The sequence below is a fragment of the Homo sapiens genome, chromosome 1, assembly GCF_000001405.40.
Source record: "Homo sapiens chromosome 1, GRCh38.p14 Primary Assembly".
NCBI lineage: Eukaryota > Metazoa > Chordata > Mammalia > Primates > Hominidae > Homo > Homo sapiens.
This window is the reverse complement of record NC_000001.11, coordinates 74,497,384-74,519,181: the sequence shown is the minus strand read 5'-3', so window position 1 is coordinate 74,519,181 and position 21,798 is coordinate 74,497,384. Positions and strand designations below refer to the sequence as shown.

Sequence of the window (21,798 nt, the reverse complement as noted above, 5' to 3'; positions counted from 1 at the left end):
ATTGGAAACCATCATTCTCAGTAAACTATCACAAGAACAAAAAACCAAACACCGCATATTCTCACTCATAGGTGGGAATTGAACAATGAGATCACATGGACACAGGAAGGGGAATATCACACTCTGGGGACTGTGGTGGGGTCGGGGGAGGGGGAAGGGATAGCATTGGGAGATATACCTAATGCTAGATGACACATTAGTGGGTGCAGCGCACCAGCATGGCACATGTATACATATGTAACTAACCTGCACAATGTGCACATGTACCCTAAAACTTAGAGTATAATAAAAAAAAAAAAAAAAAAAAGGGGAAAAAAAATAAAATAAAATAAAAAATAAAGTAAGGTAATTTGTTTTAAATTGAAGACTAAATACTCCTTAAATAATCCATATTTGTAAATGTTGTTTTAAAAACACACCCTTTACTTATGGAAATAAATTATATAAAAGCAAAATATGTGTTCAAAACACTAATATAATAATTTTGAGCTTAAAAAACAGATATTGTTTTGAAAACACTATTAGCGATGCATTATGAAGCCTCTGCACTGACAGTGTGCTCCCCAGGCAGGCATCAGGTGAAACACGGGAACCATAAGCTTCGTCACGATTAGTAGAATCCACTGAGATCTGTAAGCAGTGGGAACCATAGAGCCACCCTAAAAAGAAGGCATATTGAGGTGGGAGAATCAGAGATCCTTGAGGTAAGAAAAGCATCTCAGAAGCAACCAAGAGTCTATAACTGCCCTTTAGATACATTGGTCCCTTTAGGTAAAGAAGAAGAACGAAAATGCTGTGGAAATCTCATAAATAAAAACAATGAAAGGAGTGAACAGTAAGAGGCTATGTGGAAATAGGAGATGAAAATAAATATAAAAGAAGAACTCCTTTCAATTTCTGTTAATGACCTAATGATTCTTCTAGCCATCCAGACTGAAAAGCAGACTGTCACATCTGACAACTCTTTTTTCCTCCATTGATCAGCAAACCCTCTCCATCTACTCCACTGGGCCAATATTTCTCAACATCTATTATCATTTCTTTGCTTCTTCTTGACTTACCTGGGAACCTCCTGGTCCACCATCTGTCCTCTAGTAACCTGCACACGGCTGCCCTATTAATCTCCTAAAAGTGCTATTCTGGCGAGGTCATCGCTTGCTCAAAAACTTTGAATGACTTCCCACCGTATGCTGACCACAGTCAAAGATTGTTACTTTAAGTACTAGCTAGAGCAGTGGTTCTCAAAGTGTGATGCCTGGGACATCAGCCTCCCCTGGGAACTGGTTAGAAATTCAAATGTTTCACTCTACATCAGACCTGCTGAATCAGAAACTCTGGTAGTGGGCCCAGCAGTTTTTGCCTTAAAAAATCTTCCAGGTGATTCTGGTGCATTTTCAATTTTGAGAGCCACTGGCTTTGTGATTGAGACGATGAACTAAGATGTCTTAGTTTCAAATCCTTTTTCGGTTTACCAGTCGTACTCTTTACACAAGACACTTTCTAAGCCTCAGCTTCCTCATCAATGAAATAGAACCTAATTGAGGTTGCCACTGTGAGTTGGACATAGCAGATTATACATAATGCTTAGCACACAGCCCCCACATGTGGAGTTCTCCATAAATACCATTATTACTAACAATTATTATTAAAGGCTACTCCTGCTCTGATTCTAAATGCTTTCTACATGCTGGCTCAGTTGACCCATTTACCATTTCCTGTCCAGCCTGGTACCACCAGCACAGTACCTTGCTCAAGTAAGTGTTTGAAGGTTTGACATATGAATCAGTGAGGAGCTAATGCCAGAAAATTTTTGATACTAATTAAGTTCCTTAGGGAAGAAGAAGCTTAGTTTGAAATTGGATGGAGTGAAAATTCTAATGAACGTTAATGAGGCATTGATTTACTATCTGACCTGACAGAATATAATAAACCAGTTGTCTTTTGTCCCCATCTGTAAAATTGGATTAATGTTATTAACCTTTTTTTTTAAAGAGTTACCCCTACAAGATATGTTGCATATAGAAAGTGCCCACAGGTGTTGAGAATGATTTGTGTAATACATAATAATGAACAGCATCTACCAAAATAGGGGTGGGGGAAAAGCTGAATTAAATAATCCCCATCAACAGAGCTGGGGACAAGAATGTTTCTGTTTTTATTTTTTTGAATTGCTATCAGTGTTTTCTCATAATGATGCTCATGGGAGCATGACTGTAAATATTTCTTTTAGACTTCTGTAGAGAGGTTGCTGGAGAAAATACTGTCTATCATGTAGTTAACAATTGTTGATATCATTTTTGTGAACTGGCAATAAGGGCATTTCATCTATGTAGAATATTCCAACACTGAAAAATCCCAGAAGTAAGCTGCCTTAACTTGTTATAATAAGGGTTGGGGAAATGTGGCTATATGAGGGCACATTCATTATTACTACTGGAGAAATAATGCTGGAATTAGTGATGGGGAATATACAAGCCATCCTCAACCAAGCTGTGGAAATGTCCTTCTTTTTAAACGTGGCTGACCATGCCACTTACTGTTGAGGTCCCATGGCCCATAGTAGCAAGGTCCCACGGTCCAGGTCTCAAGCAGCAGGCCTGGGTCTATTTCTCCAGCCTCATCCTCTATTGCTCCCTGCCTCATATAGGCAGGCTCTACACACAATGAACTTCTTTCTCACAGTTTTTCTCACATACTAAGCCCCACAGTAAAAGGACTTCATCTCTTTACTGTGACACCTCATGCCTTGTATTGTACGGATTTGATATTGCCTTCCTGACTCAACTATTCTCATCTTAAGTCAGAAACCATGTCTTATTTTTCCTTTATTTTCATCATTTAGCAACATATCTAGAAATTATGAATCCCTTCCCCATCCAAGTAAATAGTGATTGAGCAGATGAGTGAACAAACAAATGGATAGCAACATTCATTGAGTAGTCTTCAACATTAGTCAAAATTTTTTTTCCTGGCTAATGGGAAATTTCAGAACAGAAATAAATGACCATATTTTTAAAAATTTTGAAATACCAGAGTTATTATCAATAAGAACAGGGATGATTTGCACTTCAGACCTACATTCTCAGCCTAGTTCCAACTCAAAGATCCACAGAAGATGGCTTCACCAGTAAGTTGATTGTCCTTTCCTTCCCCTCTAGTGAGGCTCCTAAAGACATCAGTACTACTCTCTCCATTTACATTTTCTGCAAAGGCAAGTCCCTTCTTCTCAACTGAGTCAGACATCAGAACCTTGAAGGCAGCCAGGAGGTAAACTGGCACTATGGGGCATTAGGTTGGCAGGTGTAAGTATAGTCCTTTTAATAACTAATGATCTCCAGTCTAAAGAAATAGCCAATTTAGGAAGACTAGGCTTCTGAAGAGAAAAACCTCAGATTTCCCTTAGCTTTTATCATACTTATTTTTTGACCTACTTGAATGTCATTGCCAGATTCAGCTTTTAGTTATTTCCATCAGTGTTCAGTCTCCATCCCTCACCTGTTGTGTCTGCCCACCTCAAACCATGATCCCCTTAGTTTGACTACATCGGATGTCAGCCACCTGCCCACCCTGAGTTATGTCTGACCTCAATTACTTGCAATCTCTTCCTGACTTCTGCCCTAATTAGACTTGTGCCTCTTGTAAAACTGGTTGCCAACAGCAACCATCAGAGAAACTTCAGTCAAATAGCACACCCTTTCCTAGTATCATTTCTATATGTATTGGCATGATAAAACGTTAGAATTTCACCTTAACTTTGGTTAACCATATATTTATTTTCTGACAAAGCACCAAAAAATGTCTTTCAAGTCTCATACTGGGTTAGGTGTGGGTTTTCCGCATAGTCCCAAATGATGAAGGAAAAATAACATGACTATGACCCTCAGGAAGGGCACTGACCTAACATTCAGTCTGGAGTTTGTTTTCTTCCTAAGCTCTATGAAGTTATGTCATCCTCTGTATTCATTTCCTAGGGCTGCCATAAGAAAGTTCCAAACACCTGAAGGCTTCAAACAACAGAAATGTATTCTTTCACTGTTATGCAGGTTAAAAGTCCAGAGTCAAGGTGTTGGCAAGGTTGGTTCTTTCTGAAGGAATATTCTGAGGAAAATTCTGTGCCCATGTCCTAGTTTCTGGTGAGGGCTACGATCCTTATATTCCTTGGCTTCTAGGTAGAGCACTTCAGTCCCTGCCTCCATCATCTTCACATGCCATTCTTCTGCGTGTCTTTGTGCTCTTCTTATAAAGACACAAGTCATCTTGAATTAAGGGCCCACCCTACTCCAGTATAAACTCCTATGAACTTCTCACATCTGCAACAACCCTGTTTCCAAATAGGGTCACATTTTGAGGTACCAGGGTCTGAGACTTCAACATATCTTTTTGGGGGATACAATTCAACCCACAATACCCCTTCACATTTTTACCACAGTCTTGATCTTGTTTTTTATCATGAGTTCCAAACAGAATTTCTTATGGTGTCCTAAAAAGAGCACACATGGCTTTGGGATTAGATAGACTGGAGTCAATCCCAGCTTCCCCCCTTACTATCTCAGAAGATGTTTCCTGTTTTGACCAGTTTTCCCATCTTCAAAATGGAGATAATATCTACCTAGCAAATAATTGGGGATATTATATTAATAATATGTGTACTAGTACATAGTAGGTTCTCAATAAATTCTATCAAGACTTTTCTTCTTAAGTGAATAATTGTTAGATAGTAGAGAACAACAGCAATTTCTATTAAAATGGACCTTTTCATTAATGCTCCCCTTTTTACTTAAATGCTTCCTCTCGATAAGGAACTTCTGTGCAAGTGTATACACAATCACACAAATTGCCAAAAGCATCACAAAGCGCTTTCAGCTTGTCAGCTTGTAAGCCTCTGACAAATACATAGAATTGTGTGAAAACGCTTTAAAACAATTGCTCCTAGCATTTTGGTCAGAATGTATTTATTAGACCGTATCTTATACTTGATTGTGAAAATAAACAAGGACATAAATGATCTGGCTTTAAATGCTCTATAAAATCTGCATTACAAGACTCTATGATTCATAAAGGAAGCTTCTATTTTGGTGTGCCTGGGTAAATTTGGCTATGCAAACTTCGAATAGCCTTTGAATTGAAAAACGCAGTTATCGTTTACTGGCTGACAACCTTTTCAAGGGAGAGAGAGGCAGGCACTGTACAACCAAAGATAACTTTACTTAATTAGTTTTTGGAAGATTATTTACTCCCCTTAGTCTATAGAAAAACAAAGGTCTGTCAGCACCAGATGCATCTGAGCTTTGCAGATGCGGTTGTGGCTTCTTGAAATCTTTAAAGATTCATCTAAAATATGCTTTCAGGTCTCCTTTTTGTGAAACTTTGACAGGATAATAGAATTAGATTTGCTGAAATTCACTAAACTGTAAAGTAATGTGTCATCAGCTTCACTTACTTTCCAAAAAATATTTCTCTCTGGTAATGCTCATCAATCTAGCTTTTCAACCCCTAAACATGAAACTCTGAAACAAAAAGGATGACTCCATCAGTTACGCAAGTGACAAGATGTTAAACATTTAACACTCCCACATAGTAGCGCCAGCTGCCTCTGGATGAAGCAGATTTGCTTAGGTTTGGCATAGAGAAAAAAAGGAAGACAAAGAGAAGAAAAATGAAAGGAAGAGGAACTCCTCTTGCAGTGAGAATGCAAAGTTCTCTGCAGATGTGCAGGAGTCTGAAGTGGGATGTGCCTTCTGCACAAACCTTTTCTTCTGAGGGAACATTGCAAAGACAGTCATCATCAGGTTCTCAACTCCTACTACCAGTGCCCCTGCATCCCCAACATTTCATGGACTCACTCTGATAAGAACACCTAGTGCACTGGATTAAAATAATGAAAGGACAGGGACTCAGTAAATTTCCACATCCCGGTATAATTTCTCAATAAATATCAGCTGAATAAACGAACTAGGAAAGCACACGTGGACCTCTGGGTCATTCGGACTCTTTCTCCACAACCATTTCCTCATCTTAGGCACCTACCTCTGCTGTAATCTCAGGCCAGTGAAACAGTATCGACTGAGCAAGCTGTGTGCTAGGTTGATTCTAACAACAGAATCCCTTGACTTTGTTAACAGCCCCAAACTGGCATCAACTTTAAAGAGTCAAGACTATTTTCCTCTTTAAGTGTCTTATCAAGAGGAATGTTAGTGAAAGGGCAAAAGTCGTCTATAGTTTTCCACGGTGAGCCATTTACCCGGATGAGGGACAGAAAAGGCCAGCTTTAGGTGATCACATAGTGACCCCATCATAAGGCTTGTTAACAGAGAAGTTTTCCTTGTAGAGTGAGGCATGCTGCAGGGGGTGCCCATTTTGAAGAATACAGTATGAAGCTCCCAACAGTGAAGACAGAATGGTATAAATAGCAACCCGTCAGTGGTAGGTGTTTGTTCTTTCACTCAGTGGACTTCTGATGAGTAACTACCATGTGCCAGGCGTTATTCCAGGCACTAAAGGATGAAGCCAGGAGGGGGTGGTGTGGGAGTGGAGATGCATATAAAGAGGAATAAGGCATATGGCTGAGATGCTGGACAGTTAACTCAGTAGGTCTCAGATTCATCATCCACCTTTTAATGTAGAGATTCACAAACTACAAGCTGTGAGACCTTTGGGTAAGTTAATTTCTTTCTTTTGGTGTTTTTGTTATGATGGCTGGATTTTTACACCTTTATTTCTCTTTCCTCACCATTTAAAGAGACAGACTTATAAACAGATGATCATGTGGGTGATGTCATCAGTACAGGAATGTCATCAGTGCAGGAATAGTTGAGTGCCATGAGCCACCCTGCAGTGTTGCCTGTTTTGCACAGTTCTAGGGGCCAATCTTGGGTTCAAGGTGGAGCTCTACTGTGTCTATGTCACTCATGTCTCATCTAGATTACCATATTATCCCTAGCTCCATGTTTGAGTCTGTACAATCACTGACAGTAAACACAGCTGCAGAAATCATGCCCCTTTATGGTCCCTCACAGGTTCGAGTCATGCCCCAGGGCTATTTCAATAAAGACTGGTGGCTGCTATATCCAGTCCCATCCAGATCTTTTCATGCTCACTGCCTGAATGAAGAGAAGAGTCTGAGGTCTCAGTGACTGGAAGGGAAGCTGCATGAAGGAAAGCTGCCCTCTTCCTTCCGATTTTCCTTGGGTACTGAACTTACTTGACTCCATGTTCTTTTATTTCTACTTCTATTGACTTTAGATCCTCATCTATAGCTTCTGCTCTACCCACACTCAACCCTTTGCTGTTCCCAAATGTACTGTGCAGGTTCCCACTTTCCTGCCTTTGTCCCTGTTGCTTCCCTTTCCTAGTACACTCTTTCTTCCTTTCTCTGCTTGGTTAACTCTGCCAAACTCAAGTGAAACGGGATGGCTTTTGGGAAGCCTACCTTGACTCTTCTCAGGCTCACAGGGCTTCCTACACATGGCTCAGTACTTATCTTCCTGTGTGTTTCTCTGACCTCCTCCCTTAAACTGTGAATTCCCCCAGGACTGAAGAGATCTCTAATCCATCATTGGGTGTCCAATATTTACTACATGATTCAATATATAAGAGCTGCTTAATAAATGATAGATAAATGCATATCCAATGGAATTAGATCAGTGAAGAGGCTAGCGTAATAGGGAAAATGACACATACATTTGTGTTTTCCACCTGTAAGTAATATATTGTTAATTCTTTAAATAAAGAAAATAAGAGTGAATTACTTGAGGTCAGGAGTTCGAGACCAGGAGTTCGAGGCCAACATGGCAAAACCCTATCTCTACTAAAAATACAAAAATTAGCAGGGTGTAGTGACGTGTGCCTGTAGTCCCAGCTACTCGGGAGCCTGAGGCACGAGAATTGCTTGAACCCGGGAGGCAGAGGTTGTGGTGAGCCGAGATCGCACCATTGCACTCCAGCCTGGGCAATAAGAGCGAAATTCCATCTCGGAAAAAAAAAAAATAGGCCGGGCACGGTAGCTCACGCCTGTAATCCCAGCACTTTGGGAGGCCAAGGCGGATGGATCACCTGAGGTGATCACCAGGAGTTCCAGACCAGCCTGGCCAACATGGTGAAACTCTGTTTCTACTAAAGATACAAACATTAGCTGGGCATGGTGGCAGACGCCTGTAATTCCAGCTACTTGGGAGGCTGAGGCAGGAGAATCACTTGAACCTGGGAGGCAGAGGTTGCAGTGAGCCAAGATCGCACCATTGTACTCCAGCCTGGGGGACAAGAGTGAGACTTCGTCTCAAAAAAGAAAAAAAGCATATTCAGTTTGCTAAAACTCTTTATACAAGAATACAAGACTAGCTATCAAAATACTGGGCCTCTCTGGGTAGGGGCAGACACAGTGCTGTGTACCTAGAGGGAAATCAACACACATTTGTGAGCTAGTTGATTAATTCCATGAACTTTTCAATGCTAGCCATATTTAATTAAACTTTATATACTGTTCAAGATCCTATATATGTCTTTCCCAAAGAGAAACGGAAGTTTATTTAACAAAGTATAACACATAGATCTGGTAGTTGGTAGTTTTGAACAAATTATAGACAAGGTGCTGTTTAATTTAATGAGCAATAATTTTTTAAAAATTCAAGAGATTTGACAATCTCTCAATAATTTTTTTCTCATTTTATTCTTTTTTGAGACGGAGTCTCACTCTGTCACCCAGGCTAGAGTGCAGTGGCGCGATGTCGGCTCTCTGCAAGCTCCACCTCCCGGGTTCAAGCCATTCTCCTGCCTCAGCCTCCTGAGTAGCTGGGACTACAGGCGCCAGGCACCATGCCCGGCTAATATTTTTTGTATTTTTAGTAGAGACGGGGCTTCACCATGTTAGCCAGGATGGTCTCGATCTCCTGACCTCGTGATCTGCCCGCCTCGGCCTCCGAAAGTGCTGGGATTACAGGCGTGAGCCACTGCACCTGGCCTCAGATCTTTTTAAAAGGTGAGAACTGATTGCCCTCTCTACTACTGATCTCAGGAAGTAAAAATCAGGGGGTAAGAAATGTAGTTAAACATCTCTAAGTCATGTTTAAACTCAGAACTGTCTACCTTTTACAAAAGAAATAAAATACCCAAAGAATACACAAGCAATAGAAAATCTGTGACATTGAAATTCAAGCTGGGCGCATAGGCTCACACCTTGGAAAGCAAGCAGATCGCTTGAATTCAGGAATTCAAGACCAGCCTGGGTGACTTGGTGAAACCCTGTCTCTACAAAAAATACAAAAATTAGCCAAGTGCAGTGGCGTATGCCTGTAGTTCCAGCTACTTGGGGAGCTGAGGAGGGAAAATCACCTGAGCCTGGGGAAGTTGAGGCTGCAGTGAGCCATAATCGCACAACTGTACTGGGTAACAAAGTGAGACCCTGTCTCAAAAAAAAAAAAAAAAAAAAAAAAAAAAAAGAAATTCAGATCACTCAAAACCAGAAAGCAGTTCATAGGTACCTTTCAAAATCAAACACAACACTCTATTCCTTAACATATATGACATGACAAAAACAACAATCAACATTTTAATATTGGTGCTTTGTCCTCAATTTTATTTATTTCATAATTTCATAATTCATTGTCCTCTATGTTAATCTGATAAAATATTATTGAAGAAAAGAGTATACGATTTATCTTGCCCTAAACAATAAAGGACAATTTTTAAAATAAAATGAAAATCATTCATTTGTGTAAAACCAATAAATTTAGATTTGTTAGTTCTCAAGCATCTTAAATCTTTTCTATTGTTATGTAGTACTCTAGCATTCAGCAGCCACATTCACAATTGACTATCGCTTTATTTTCAGGGATTATAGAGAAAAATTGAAACCCTCAAATGTCATTTTCCTGATTTCTGTCATTGTCATAAATAGCTGCTGGGTAGAAAACATCCAGAAACCTTTAAGTTATTCCAAATGGCAACTTGACTGAGGAATGGTCAACACTGTCAAATTTGACAATCAAGTAGTGTAAATAAGTAAGGAAAAGCTGTGAGAAATTTATGGGTAAAGCTGCTATTTAATGAGGAAAAAGGAGTGCTCTACTATCTCAAAGAGAATAAGTGATAAAAAGAAGAAGAAAGTGTCTGAATAAGGATCCCGAATTTCAGATAGACACAGGCTTTCATTTCTCACCCTCAGAAAGGGGTTTATCCATCCGTGGGTAGAACTGTGAAATAGGGACATTTATCTTTAGTTTAAAACAAAACAACATAAGTTTCTCAGGGATGATATTAAGTGTTTTATATGAATTTTCTGCAGACCCTGTAAAAACCAGACAAGGTAATATTATGGTCCCTATTTTAGTTACTGAGGCCCAAGTTTACACTGTTCTTAAAGGCAGAGGTGGGATTAGAACACATACCTCTGGCTTCAAGATGCAAGCTCTTTCCCAGTATAGCACACTAACTCCCACTTATGTTATCAGCAAAGCACCCTTCCTCCTGAGCCTCCCTTCTACCAGACATATGCCCCGGGTTGGGCTCTGACCTATAGCTTGCTGTTGGTTTTCTCAGTTTGTGTGCAGTCTCCCATGCTACCGCTCTGGCAGACTGATTCGCTACTTATCCTCTGAATGCAGTCTGCCTCCTGGCCTGTGGGCTATTTTTTAACCCTTTTCTCTCTGTCTTTTGTGGAGTTTGGTGTCCAGATTCACCAGTTCTAGAACTACTCTGGCCAGGTTTAAGTCCTACATCAGGCATTTGCCACTTGTATTTTGGGGACTTTATTTTTTCTCATCTGTGAAATTGAAAAAATCATAATACCTTCTTTATTTTTATGAAGATTAAATGAGATAACACATTTAAAGTACCATAGCCTGTTATCTGGTACAAAATAAGAACTCAGTATGGTTACACTTATGATGGCTATTATTATTACTATTTTTATTATACTTTAAGTTCTAGGGTACATGTGCACAAGGTGCAGGTTTGTTACATATGTATACATGTGCCATGTTGGTGTGCTGCACCCATTAACTCATCATTTACATTAGGTATTTCTGCATCTCTTTGGCAAGGCCACCTTTTGCAAGAAGCTATCCACATGCCTGCCTCTCCTTTTTCTTAGTAATGCCTCCGTCTGTGTTAGAATACACTAGAGTCGTGTGCCCGTCATTGTATACAATCACATTGCATTATAATACATTTGGGGTCTATTTTCCATACAAACTACTTAAAGGTAGAAATATTATACTATGTTTGCTTTTCAGCATCTTTGGTTCCTGGCAAACTCCCAGCACAATATAGGGACTCTGCAAATGTTTGTTGAATGAACACCTGACTAACCAGAGAGGAAAAAATACAAACGCTGCTTCAATTTTCAGCCTTTGTAATTTCAAAGGTACTTAAGTTCCTAAGTCTCAGAGCCCATGTTCCTGGATGACGGTAGCTCATGCCATAGTACACTAAAGTACCATATTAGTAGGGAATACCAACATGGCTAAAACAAGTTCTTTGAAATTCTCACCATAGAACTGTGCATCTCCATGTTGTTGGTGTCAGTGAACCATCCTAATGTGAAGGAGAACAAGAAGTACATTAAAGCAAAAAAGAGACTTTGGGGCCAGAAAGATTTGTATTGATTGAGTCATTCATTCATTCATTCAATACACATATATCCATCACACTATATGCCAAGCATTGTGATAAATATGAACAATGCAAAAATGAAAGACACAGTTCCTGGCTTCAAGAAGCTTACTCTGTGTGTAAGTGCGTGCGCATGTGTGTGTGTATGGCAATTGACATACAAAGACATCAATAATTACAATAATGTTTCTATTCTCTGATGGGATCTGTACAGAATATAGTAACAGCAAACATGATGGGTAACTAGTTGAGGGTATTTAGGACAACTTCCTACAGGAGGAGACATTGGGATTGAACTTGGTCTTAATTGAATCCTTTATGTATTTTTGTGTTAAAAAGATGGGGGGGGGGTGAAGAAATTTAAAAACTGCTCATCATGTGTGATATTTGCAAATTTTCCTGGACCTATATTTAAAGAACTTGGATTGTGCTTGCCTTGAAATATTTGTAATGAATAATACAGGGATCTTGCGATCAGCACACTATGTAATATTTGTAACTAAATTAAGATAATAATTTGTTCAACATTCCTTTCAATATATTTTCTTTAGTTTAATGAACCTTGTCAATTGGTATTACAGATATGAAATTATTTAATATGAATGGCTCTCCCCCTCAAGAAACTTATTCAACAGAGACATGATACCAAGTAGAAAGTGGTAAATGAATTAAGATAGATAAATCTTTTCCGAGAAGACAGTGAATCTTTCCATCAAGTGTAAGAATGAGATTAGGAATGCTCATAGGGAGCAGTAAAACAACCTTGGAGAAGGAAAAAAATCTAGAAAGAGATAAGAGCAAGGTGACATTCTAAATACAGTACACTAAAACTAAAAGGTCCCCAGAGATTGGTTACTGTATATTTGCAAGTCGCCTGTTAAAATCTTGTTAAAATGCAGATTCGGCAGGTCCGGTGTGGGGCCTGAGATTGTACATTTCTAACAAGCTCCTAGGTGATGCCAGAGCTGCTGGTCTGTGAGTCACAGCTTGAATAGCAAGCATCCAATTCAAATGCCTCATTATAGATGATAATCCTAAAACCCAGGGCAGAAAGGGATTTGCTCATGTCACACAACTGATTAGTATGAGAGCAGCTCTCTTGTCTCACACTATAGCAGCTCAGCAAGTAGTAAAAAAATCATGGGCTTTGGAATCAGGCTGATCTCGGCTCAAATCTTGGCCCTGCTGTTTACTAGTTACAAAGCCTTGGGCAGGCCATTTATACTTTCTGTGCTTCAGTTTCTCATTTGTAGAATACTGATAAATAACTCTTAGCTGTAGAAGAGTTGTAATAAGTCTGTGCTACGACAGGCATACAAAAAATGCACAATAGCGTCTAGAACATACTAAGTGTCTATGTTTGAATACACATTTCTGTTCTATGTCACAGATCAAAACATGTAACGTGTCTTCTCTTTTTATCCTTTGGCCAGGTCTGTATTGCCATCAGTGCACATGGCAATATTATCTACATCATATCCCCCTAGGACCCGGGCTGTGTTAGCATCTGGTGACACTTAGTGGCATAGTTAACACTGGCTGGGCTGGCAAATAAGAGACTGATGAAGGCCAAAAAAACAAAAAGTGATTTCATTTTTTTACTTTCTCTTTGAAAGAGAAGTCAGGGTGGCAAACATATATCCACTAGTAAATTTTTTGTACTCGTTTGCAGATGAGGCCTTTAAAACATCTGCACATTAATAAAAAATGTTCAGCTAATATCACAAATATTAATGGTGAAGATTTTCATTCCACTTTGGTTAATTCAGGAGTTATTTTCTTCCTGGGTCCAGTATTTTTTCAGATTTCGTTAGTTGCCATTAACTAAATATCAAGAAAAACTCCATCTCATAGGTTCCAAGGAGATAATGAGAAATGACAACTGGTTTAATGTGTTTTTTTACAAGAAAATTCCTGCTTCAAATACGAGTAAGCAAAAGGAAGAACGATGCCATTTTTGCATTATATGAGGTTTAGATATAGTCCACATGGAAGATGTTAAAGGTGAAAAAAAGAAAAAACAATCCATGAGGAATTAAACCTGTTAAACTGTTCAGAGCCATTGTAAGAGCTGCTTCAGAAATCTATTTAGAAATCATTGCTCTTGTATCTGAATCATTACAGAGACACCAGCATCACCCACTTCTTATTGCTGCGAACATAGCAACAGTTGCCATGCTAGCAAGAGATTCAGCTTCGCAACACAAATACTGGAGTCAGGAGGGAGCAGGGCGAGGCCAGAGCTGGAGTCAGGGAGGATGAACAGAACACAGTGCTGCCTGTATAGATTTAATTAGGCCGGTTGTTCTCTTTGGTCCCTGTGCTTGTCCTGTCAGATATTTCAGGACAGCAGAAGCAGTCTCAAAAGCAGCATTTTTGGGCCAAGTCTTACTTTCAGTTGTACACACACGCAACTGCCAAAGGCGGGATCTGTGTGCTTTGATGTGCTTAAGAGTGGGCCCGGGCCCTCCTTTGTGTATGAATGGAGAGGGTTTCTCTTCATTTTCAGGAATGAAAACCTCATAGAACTCTCATCACTAGAAAGTCAGGCCATTCGTTGTCCCAATATGTCATTTCATCTAATTGAAAACTGAGAAATCTGTCACCATTTATTTAGCAGTTTGCCTCCGGCGAATCTTCGCAGGTTCTCTTCATGTGGCTGGGAATTAGTTAATTAGTATTACAAAACGCTTGAAGAGGGAAATGCACTCTGGCTCGCCCTTTGGGTTAGGAGGGAGTGCATTTTAGGTCGCTAACAAGCACTGCTGACGGATAGAAAAGAACACGAAATTACAGCATCAGAATAGCCACGGTGAGAGCTGCATCTCATTCTCTCTCTCAGGTGGATATGTTGTAACCTAAATATGTCACTCGCTCACTCTTTTCATGCAAATCTTTTATGTGTGACAATAAATCCAGGTACTTAAATTTTTTTTAAAGGTGTCAATTTTACACACGTAGGGCTCTTCTCATATCTTGACTTTTATTAATTTTCCATTTTCATCACCTCCTCTTTTGAACAGAATATTTTGTTTGATGTTCTTTCTTTTACATTTTTCATGGCGAAAGGCTGTTTCAAACTAAGGGTGGTTTTAAAAGTGAAGGAAAAGATTGACATTTTTCACATGCTCCTCAACTTTGAGGCTGCACACCTTTGTTCGGCGTGAAGTCTCCAAGCCTCTATCCTTAGTACAGCATTCAGGAGGGCTGGAGGAGGCCTCACTCGTGGTTTGGCAACTGACTGCTAGATGGCGTTAGAGAGCAAGGCAGCTAAAAACAAGCAGCTAACATGGTTACTTTAGTCCACATCAGCCGAAAAGGAGTTCTTAACATAGAGCCCTATCACCTTTCATCACAGACTATGTCCAATTCTGGTGATTTGTAAGATACCAGAAGCATGCAATGCAGAGGGCACTAGCAATCAATTTATAGCCCTCCTTTCACTTTTCGTGTATATGTGTGCATAAGGGAATTGCTTGTATATTTCACTATAGTGCTGTCTGGGTATGCACCTAGGGATGCGGTGAAGAGGTGTTATGTAAATATAGTAAATGGCTGTGTTTATTGTTTGGATCTTCATGGAGATAGTTTTAACTTTGTGAAAGACCACTCCCCACTTTCTTTAATTTTCCCATCTATATAAGATGGCATTCAGGAACATAATGAGGTATACCAAACACTTTCACACTGTCACATCAACATGCATAGTTATATATTTCCCTTTTCAGCCCCATACCACCACAACATTAGGAGATTTTCTGATTTTGTTAATTAGTAAAACCTATGGGCATTTCAAGAAGTTATGAGCTTAAAAAGAAAGAGATAAAAGGCAACTGATAGGCATCGTGGCACTTGCTTAGATTCTAGCTTCTCTCCTTTGCCTTTTATATTTTGCCACTGCAGGCCCTTAATGAGCTTGATAACTGACGTTCAGGAAGTGCATGTCATAAAAATTTTACGTCTCAGAGATGATAGCTATCCTAAAAAAAAATGGTCTTGTCCCTAGATTTAGGCAAGCAACATCTTGTTCTCCTCATTATACATACAAGATCCATAGAACTTAAGTCAACAGTGTCACTGAGTAAGAAAGACAACTCTTCCTACAAGCTCAGAAGACACTGCTGAAGTGAGGGTTAGATACTAATATAATGTTCCAATAAGCACTACAGTCTTTTGTAAATTCTATAGATATCATATTTCAAATCAGCATTCTTTGAATAAGTAAAATATAAGTTAGAAAGCCAAAGACCCTTTTTGGTTTTATTAAATTTATAAATATTAAAATTATTTCTAAGTAGAATTAGCTAAAAGATGCTGATTCCCTATTGTATTTATGCATGAGAAAGAGTGGTCTTTTTCTTCATTTCTGGCCCTGAAAAACTCTTGGACTTTCATCACCAGAAAGTCAATTGTTGCCCACAAATGTCAGCTAAAAGATTGTTGTTGTTTTTTTCATTCATTGACTGCATTTGGCTACCACAGTGGAGAGTACGTTTAATGAGGAAGTGAAAAGAAGAGCCTAATTTTACAGTGTACTCAGTTCCATAAAGAAATCATGCTGAAGTAGAGCTATCCTCAAAGCTAGTCCACAAGTGTCACTTCAGTTAAGTTCCTAGAAGGAAGAAGTTCATCCTTTTATGTGCTCTGATTGGTTGTCGCTACTTTTACAAATGTGGTCAGAGAGTGAGGCTGTTTGGGAGAGGCTGTTTTGAAGAAGATACAGAGGGAGTCCACGGCACGCCTGTGAACGAGGCAGCAGCTGTGGAGTTGTGTTCAGTTTGGGTCTGTATCAGCACAGGCAGGTGATTTATAGTGTTTCTTCAGGAGGCATAAGCTGAGGCAAAGTGGCTACTATCAGAGTTAGAGTGAGAAGGGAAATTTCCCTCCAATCAAAGGCTATTGGCCATAGACAGAGGGAAGTATGTTCCACTAGATCTGGCAGTTTAAGTGCGAGGTAGTTCAGTACTCTGGATAGCTCCCTGCTGATTCTCTTCAAAGCCCAAACTTGACATAACGTTCTGGTGTTGGCAAACATGTTGGCAAAGTTAAGTCTCCAGAGATAGCATGATGTAATGAAAACACTACCGGACAGGCCCAAATTAAATTATGAACTACCATTTTTTCTACTAAATAGTTATATGCATTGCTTACATTATTTGAGTTTCTGTTTTATCTAAAAAATAGAAACCATGAGGCATACTTCACAAGATTGTTGAATTCAATGGCATCATGTTTGTGGGAAGTCATTATGTTCATGTACATCACAAATAGGTGTTTGGCACCTACCATGTACCGGGCACTGTTCTAAGTACTGGAGAAACAGCAGCAAAAGGAGAGACATTTTATGCCTGCATGATGTTTACAATCTACTATGGGTATGAATATAAAAGAAAACGATTTTCTAAGATTATCACTCCAAGTAAATATAAGTGCTATGAAGTTCTCATACTGACTCTTGTTGACCTATAGCATGAATTTTAATAGATTATATGGTAGAGATACATCATGGGTCCAAGCAAGGTGGAGGGTCAGATAAGAAACACCTGTATAAAGCCAAAATCTTCAAAGGGCAACATCCAGATTAGGTAAATCAGAAAAAATAAAATTCACTCTACATAAAGATATGCAGAGGATAAATATCTTACATTATTCCTGGCTCCAGGTAAAGTGAGAAAAAGAAAATGTATATATATATATATAACCCTCAGAAGTCTCATCTGCCAGCCCACATACAAGCTAGTTTAAAGCAGAATTATTACTACACGTGTTCTATGAAAAACTCCAAGTTGGCCGGATGCGGTGGCTCATGCTTGTAATCCCAGCACTTTGGGAGGCCGAGGTGGACAGATCACAAGGTCAGGAATACACAACCAGCCTGACCAACATGGTGAAACCCCGTCTCTACTAAAAAAGTACAAAAATTACCCGGGCGTGGTAGTGCGTGCCTGTAATCCCAGCTACTCGGGAGGCTGAGGCAGGAGAATGGCATGAACCCAGGAGGCAGAGGTTGCAGAGAACTGAGATTGTGCCACTGCACTCTAGCCTGGGTGACAGAGCCAGTCTCAAAAAACAAACAAACAAACAAACAAACAAACAAACACAAAACAAAAAAAACCCTCCAAGTTGAAGTTTTGGTTGGTCTTGAGGTATTAATGTCTCCAGATAAAATTCGTTTGAAGAAATAAAAGAAGAAAAGTATGGAGCAGGTCTACAGCTTTTTTTAAACTCTCCTGTAAAATTGTAAATGACATGCAACTTCTAGAACTGGAATATAAATTAGAAATAAATTGAATTAGAAATGCAATGAACAAAGTAAACAACACATTAAATCCAGCTTCTGAGAGAATAAGTGAATTGGAAGACAGATCTGAAAAAATTACCCAGAAAGCAGGATAGAGAAAGTAAAGGGTGGGAAATATTTTTTAAAAAGAGATTGAGAAATGTGGAAAATAGAGTGAGAAACTTTAAAAAATATCCAACTAGAATTCCAGAAAGAGATACTAAAGAAGAAGTAATAAAGAAATGTTAGAAGAGACAACAGCTGAGGATTATCCAGAGTTTATGAAAGATGTCAATTTTCAAATTCTGGAAACATAATATATCACAAGTAAAATAAATAAACATAAATTTATATCTATACACAACATAATTAAACTGTAGGATACCAAAGATAAAGAAGACTTCTAAAAGCAGTTTTAAAAGGCAGATTAAAAACAAAAGAAATAACAATTAGATTCATAGATGAAATTTTAACAGCAACAAAGAAAGTAAAACATGGAATAGCATTTTCCCCCTGAAGGTGCAGGGAAAAAAGTAACTGAACAATTAAAATCCTCTATCTACTAAATATCTTAAAAAAGAGGGAAGATAAGTGTTTTTCATTTGTTTACTTCCAACAGAGTGAGGCTTAAATAATTTTTTTTTTTTTTTTTTTTTTTTTTTTTTTTTTTTTTTTTTTTTTTTTTTTTTTTGAGACGGAGTCTCGCTCTGTCGCCCAGGCTGGAGTGCAGTGGCGGGATCTCAGCTCACTGCAAGCTCCGCCTCCCGGGTTCACGCCATTCTCCTGCCTCAGCCTCCCAAGTAGCTGGGACTACAGGCGCCCGCCACTACGCCCGGCTAATTTTTTTGTATTTTTAGTAGAGACGGGGTTTCACCGTTTTTTAGCCGGGATGGTCTCGATCTCCTGACCTCGTGATCCGCCCGCCTCGGCCTCCCAAGGCTTAAATAATTTTTAAAGGTGCATTTATGGAAAAGAAAAATGATACTAGAAGAAAGATTTGAAATGTAACCATAACAAACAATGAAACATTAAACATGAGGTAAGCCTAAATAAAACATAGTTGTATAAAACAATGAAATCATTATGGAATTTATAAAATCTTGATGAAGATAAAATACTGGAAATTAAAATAAAGAGGTATTATAGAGGTCAGGAGAGAATGATTTTAATTAAAATGGTCTAAGATCTTTCATTTAAGAATAAGACAAACATATTAAAAATATAATTAGTTATTTTAAATAATATATTAAAGCTTCTGGGGTACTCACCAAAGAATAGAAATATAGCTCATATTCAAATAATCAAAGGAAAGGAAAAAAGATAGAAAGATAGGGTGAGAAAAAATACTAGACAGAATAAAATAATATGTTTGCAATTAGTCCAAACGATTTCAGCAGTCACAATGGATGTAACTATTTATCACACAAAAGGTATATAAGAACCCCATAAAGAAAATTGTAAACTCTTACTAAAAGATATTAAAGAACATCTAAATAAATGCAAAAATGTACTACATTCATGGTAAGGGGAACTCAATATTATAAAGATGTCAGATCTTTTCATATTGACCTATAGGCTTAAATATCTATAATCAAAATCTCATTTTTTTGGTGGGAAATACAAGCTGAGTATAAAAATTGTAGTAGCCCCCTCCCCTCTTATCTACCAGGGATATATTCCAAGACCCCCAGTGGATGCCTGAAACTGGAGATATTACTGAATCCAATATACAGTATAATATTTTCTTATACCTATATTCCTATGATAAAATTTAACTTATAAATTAGGCACAATGAGAGATTGACAATAATTAATAATAAAATAGAACAATTACAACAACATACTTTAATAAAAGTTATTGTGGGGCCTGGTGCAGTGGCTCATATTTATAATCTCAGCACTTTAGGAAGCTGAATCATTTAACCTTAGGAGACCAGCCTGGGCAACATAGTAAAACTCTGTTTCTACAAAAATAAAAATTAAAAATTAACTGGGCATGGTGGCGCATGCCTGTAGTCCCAGCTACTCAGGAGGCTCAGGCAGGAGGATTGCTTGAGCCAAGGAAAAATTCTAGGTAAAGTGTTCATCCATAATAAATAATCAGACATGGTCCCATTTGCAGGAAAAGTAAAGACCCTGAGTTCAAGGGAAATGCATGCTGGTTGTCCCTTGTAACCCAGTGTGCACGCACCTGCATTCCTGGGATGTTTCTGTCCATTGTTCTGTTGGTTTGCTTGTTTATTTATTCATTTCTCTAATGAAGATTCACATTAATAGAATATAAAATGAATGAGTCAATAATTGGTGTATTTATCAGAATATTATGTTTTGCTTTTATTTCATGCTAAAATAAGCGTCATATTAATGCTCTGCACATGAAATCTACCTTTGAAGGAACATTACCTTTTGTTATAGAAGTTTTAAATATTAAAATTTTTTTTAAAAAACACACAGGGAATGAATGTGGTAGTCACTTTTCTCCTCACACATCTTAGTCACCTATATTCTATCCTTTTAGTAATTAAAAAAGAAATATATTGACATTTAGTGTGCTAATAGTCGGGGGGAAGACTGGAAAAGTAGTGGAATATCTAGTAGTTCATTATTTTTGGATGAGAATATATTTGAACTTGACAGGAATGTAGGAGTCAAAAAAATCTGAATGCCAGAGTTTTACTCACTTAAATTGCAGAAATACAAAGCCTGGTATTTACAGCCTAACTAATAATTTTCCTAGTTTATTATAAATAAAAATATTTAATATTCACCACATGCAATTAAATAATAAATGAGATATTGTAGGCACCTGAACAAAACAAAAAAGAAGAGAATTTCTGTTTTTAACATATTTATGATCTAATAGGGAATAAGACACATAAGAAAAAATAACATGAATTATAACGTGGCACAGAGTGCTGTGGTCTTTAGTGAGGCATGAATCGAGATGGGGTAGCCCCCAGAAAATACTTCTTCATGACATAGTGATTACGCTGATTGAGATAATTACTGAAGGCTGGTTAATATTTTGACAAGATAAGGGGGATGTCAAGGTTAAAAAAACTGTTAAGATACAGTGATAGGTTGATGGTAGGATAAACATGGGGTGTTTATGGGAACTAGTGGAACTTCTAGTTTGTCTGTAGTTTTCCTCTCCAAGAATGCTATTGTCATTTTGTGTAAGATAATTTTTTGTTTTTTGAGATTGCCCAAAACATTGGAGAAACCTCAACATTCTGGTCCCAGCTCACTAAATGGTAATAGCATCTCTTTAGTCCTTGGGAATACAAAAACAAACAAACAAACAAACAAAAAAGCCTCCCACAGTTCAAAAAGCCTAGGATGCATCTGAGAAGAGAGAGAGCGACAGTATCACTCTCTGTTTAGAACCACTGGAACGTATGATGAAAACGTGTATCACTGAGGATTTCGGACTCCTGAATCAATTGGACTCCGGAATTCACTTAATTTTAGAAGCAATGGAGAATTATTGAAGGTTTTAATGCAAATAATATAATTAGAATTGGAGTTCTACATAATAAAAATTATGATGGTAGTAGGTGGGTTAGAGCATGAGGAAGCTGGAACAGGAGAGAAGTTAAAGATGTTGCAAACGCTAGGAAGCAGAGAGGTCAAGGCTGAATAAATGATCTGGGGTTCAATTGTGTGTGTGGAGGAATGTATGTGTGTGTAGATGTGTGTGTGTGCATGTGTATGTGTGTGTGTGTGTGTGCATGTATGTGGTGTGAGTTGAAGCCATGGGATTGTAGAAACAACAAGAAGACCCATGGAAAGAGGAAGCAATGTTTGAGAACATTTACAGTGGTCATGAGCAAGGTGCTGAAATTGCTGATTGTGGTGAGTTGACAAGAAGTTAGGGATGGAGAGAGGATAGAAAGATTGGAAGAAAAGGG

At 38.4% G+C, this 21,798-nt stretch overlaps 3 protein-coding genes across 6 annotated transcripts in view; 1 reads left to right on the top strand and 2 right to left on the bottom strand.

The window, feature by feature from the left end:
- Positions 1 to 21,798, bottom strand: part of FPGT-TNNI3K (FPGT-TNNI3K readthrough) — a 346,187-nt gene that overhangs the window by 25,247 nt on the left and 299,142 nt on the right. The window lies entirely within an intron of this gene.
- Positions 1 to 21,798, bottom strand: part of TNNI3K (TNNI3 interacting kinase) — a 309,042-nt gene that overhangs the window by 25,247 nt on the left and 261,997 nt on the right. The window lies entirely within an intron of this gene.
- Positions 1 to 21,798, top strand: part of LRRC53 (leucine rich repeat containing 53) — a 67,704-nt gene that overhangs the window by 17,898 nt on the left and 28,008 nt on the right. For 2 of the 4 annotated variants that reach the window (NM_001364666.2, NM_001382280.1), the window contains exon 1: positions 6,571 to 6,656. The exons of the other annotated variants lie outside the window; for them this stretch is intronic. The gene's annotated coding sequence lies outside the window, so the exon portion shown is untranslated. Of the gene's footprint in view, positions 1 to 6,570; positions 6,657 to 21,798 lie in introns of those variants that run through there. 4 annotated transcript variants of the gene reach the window in all.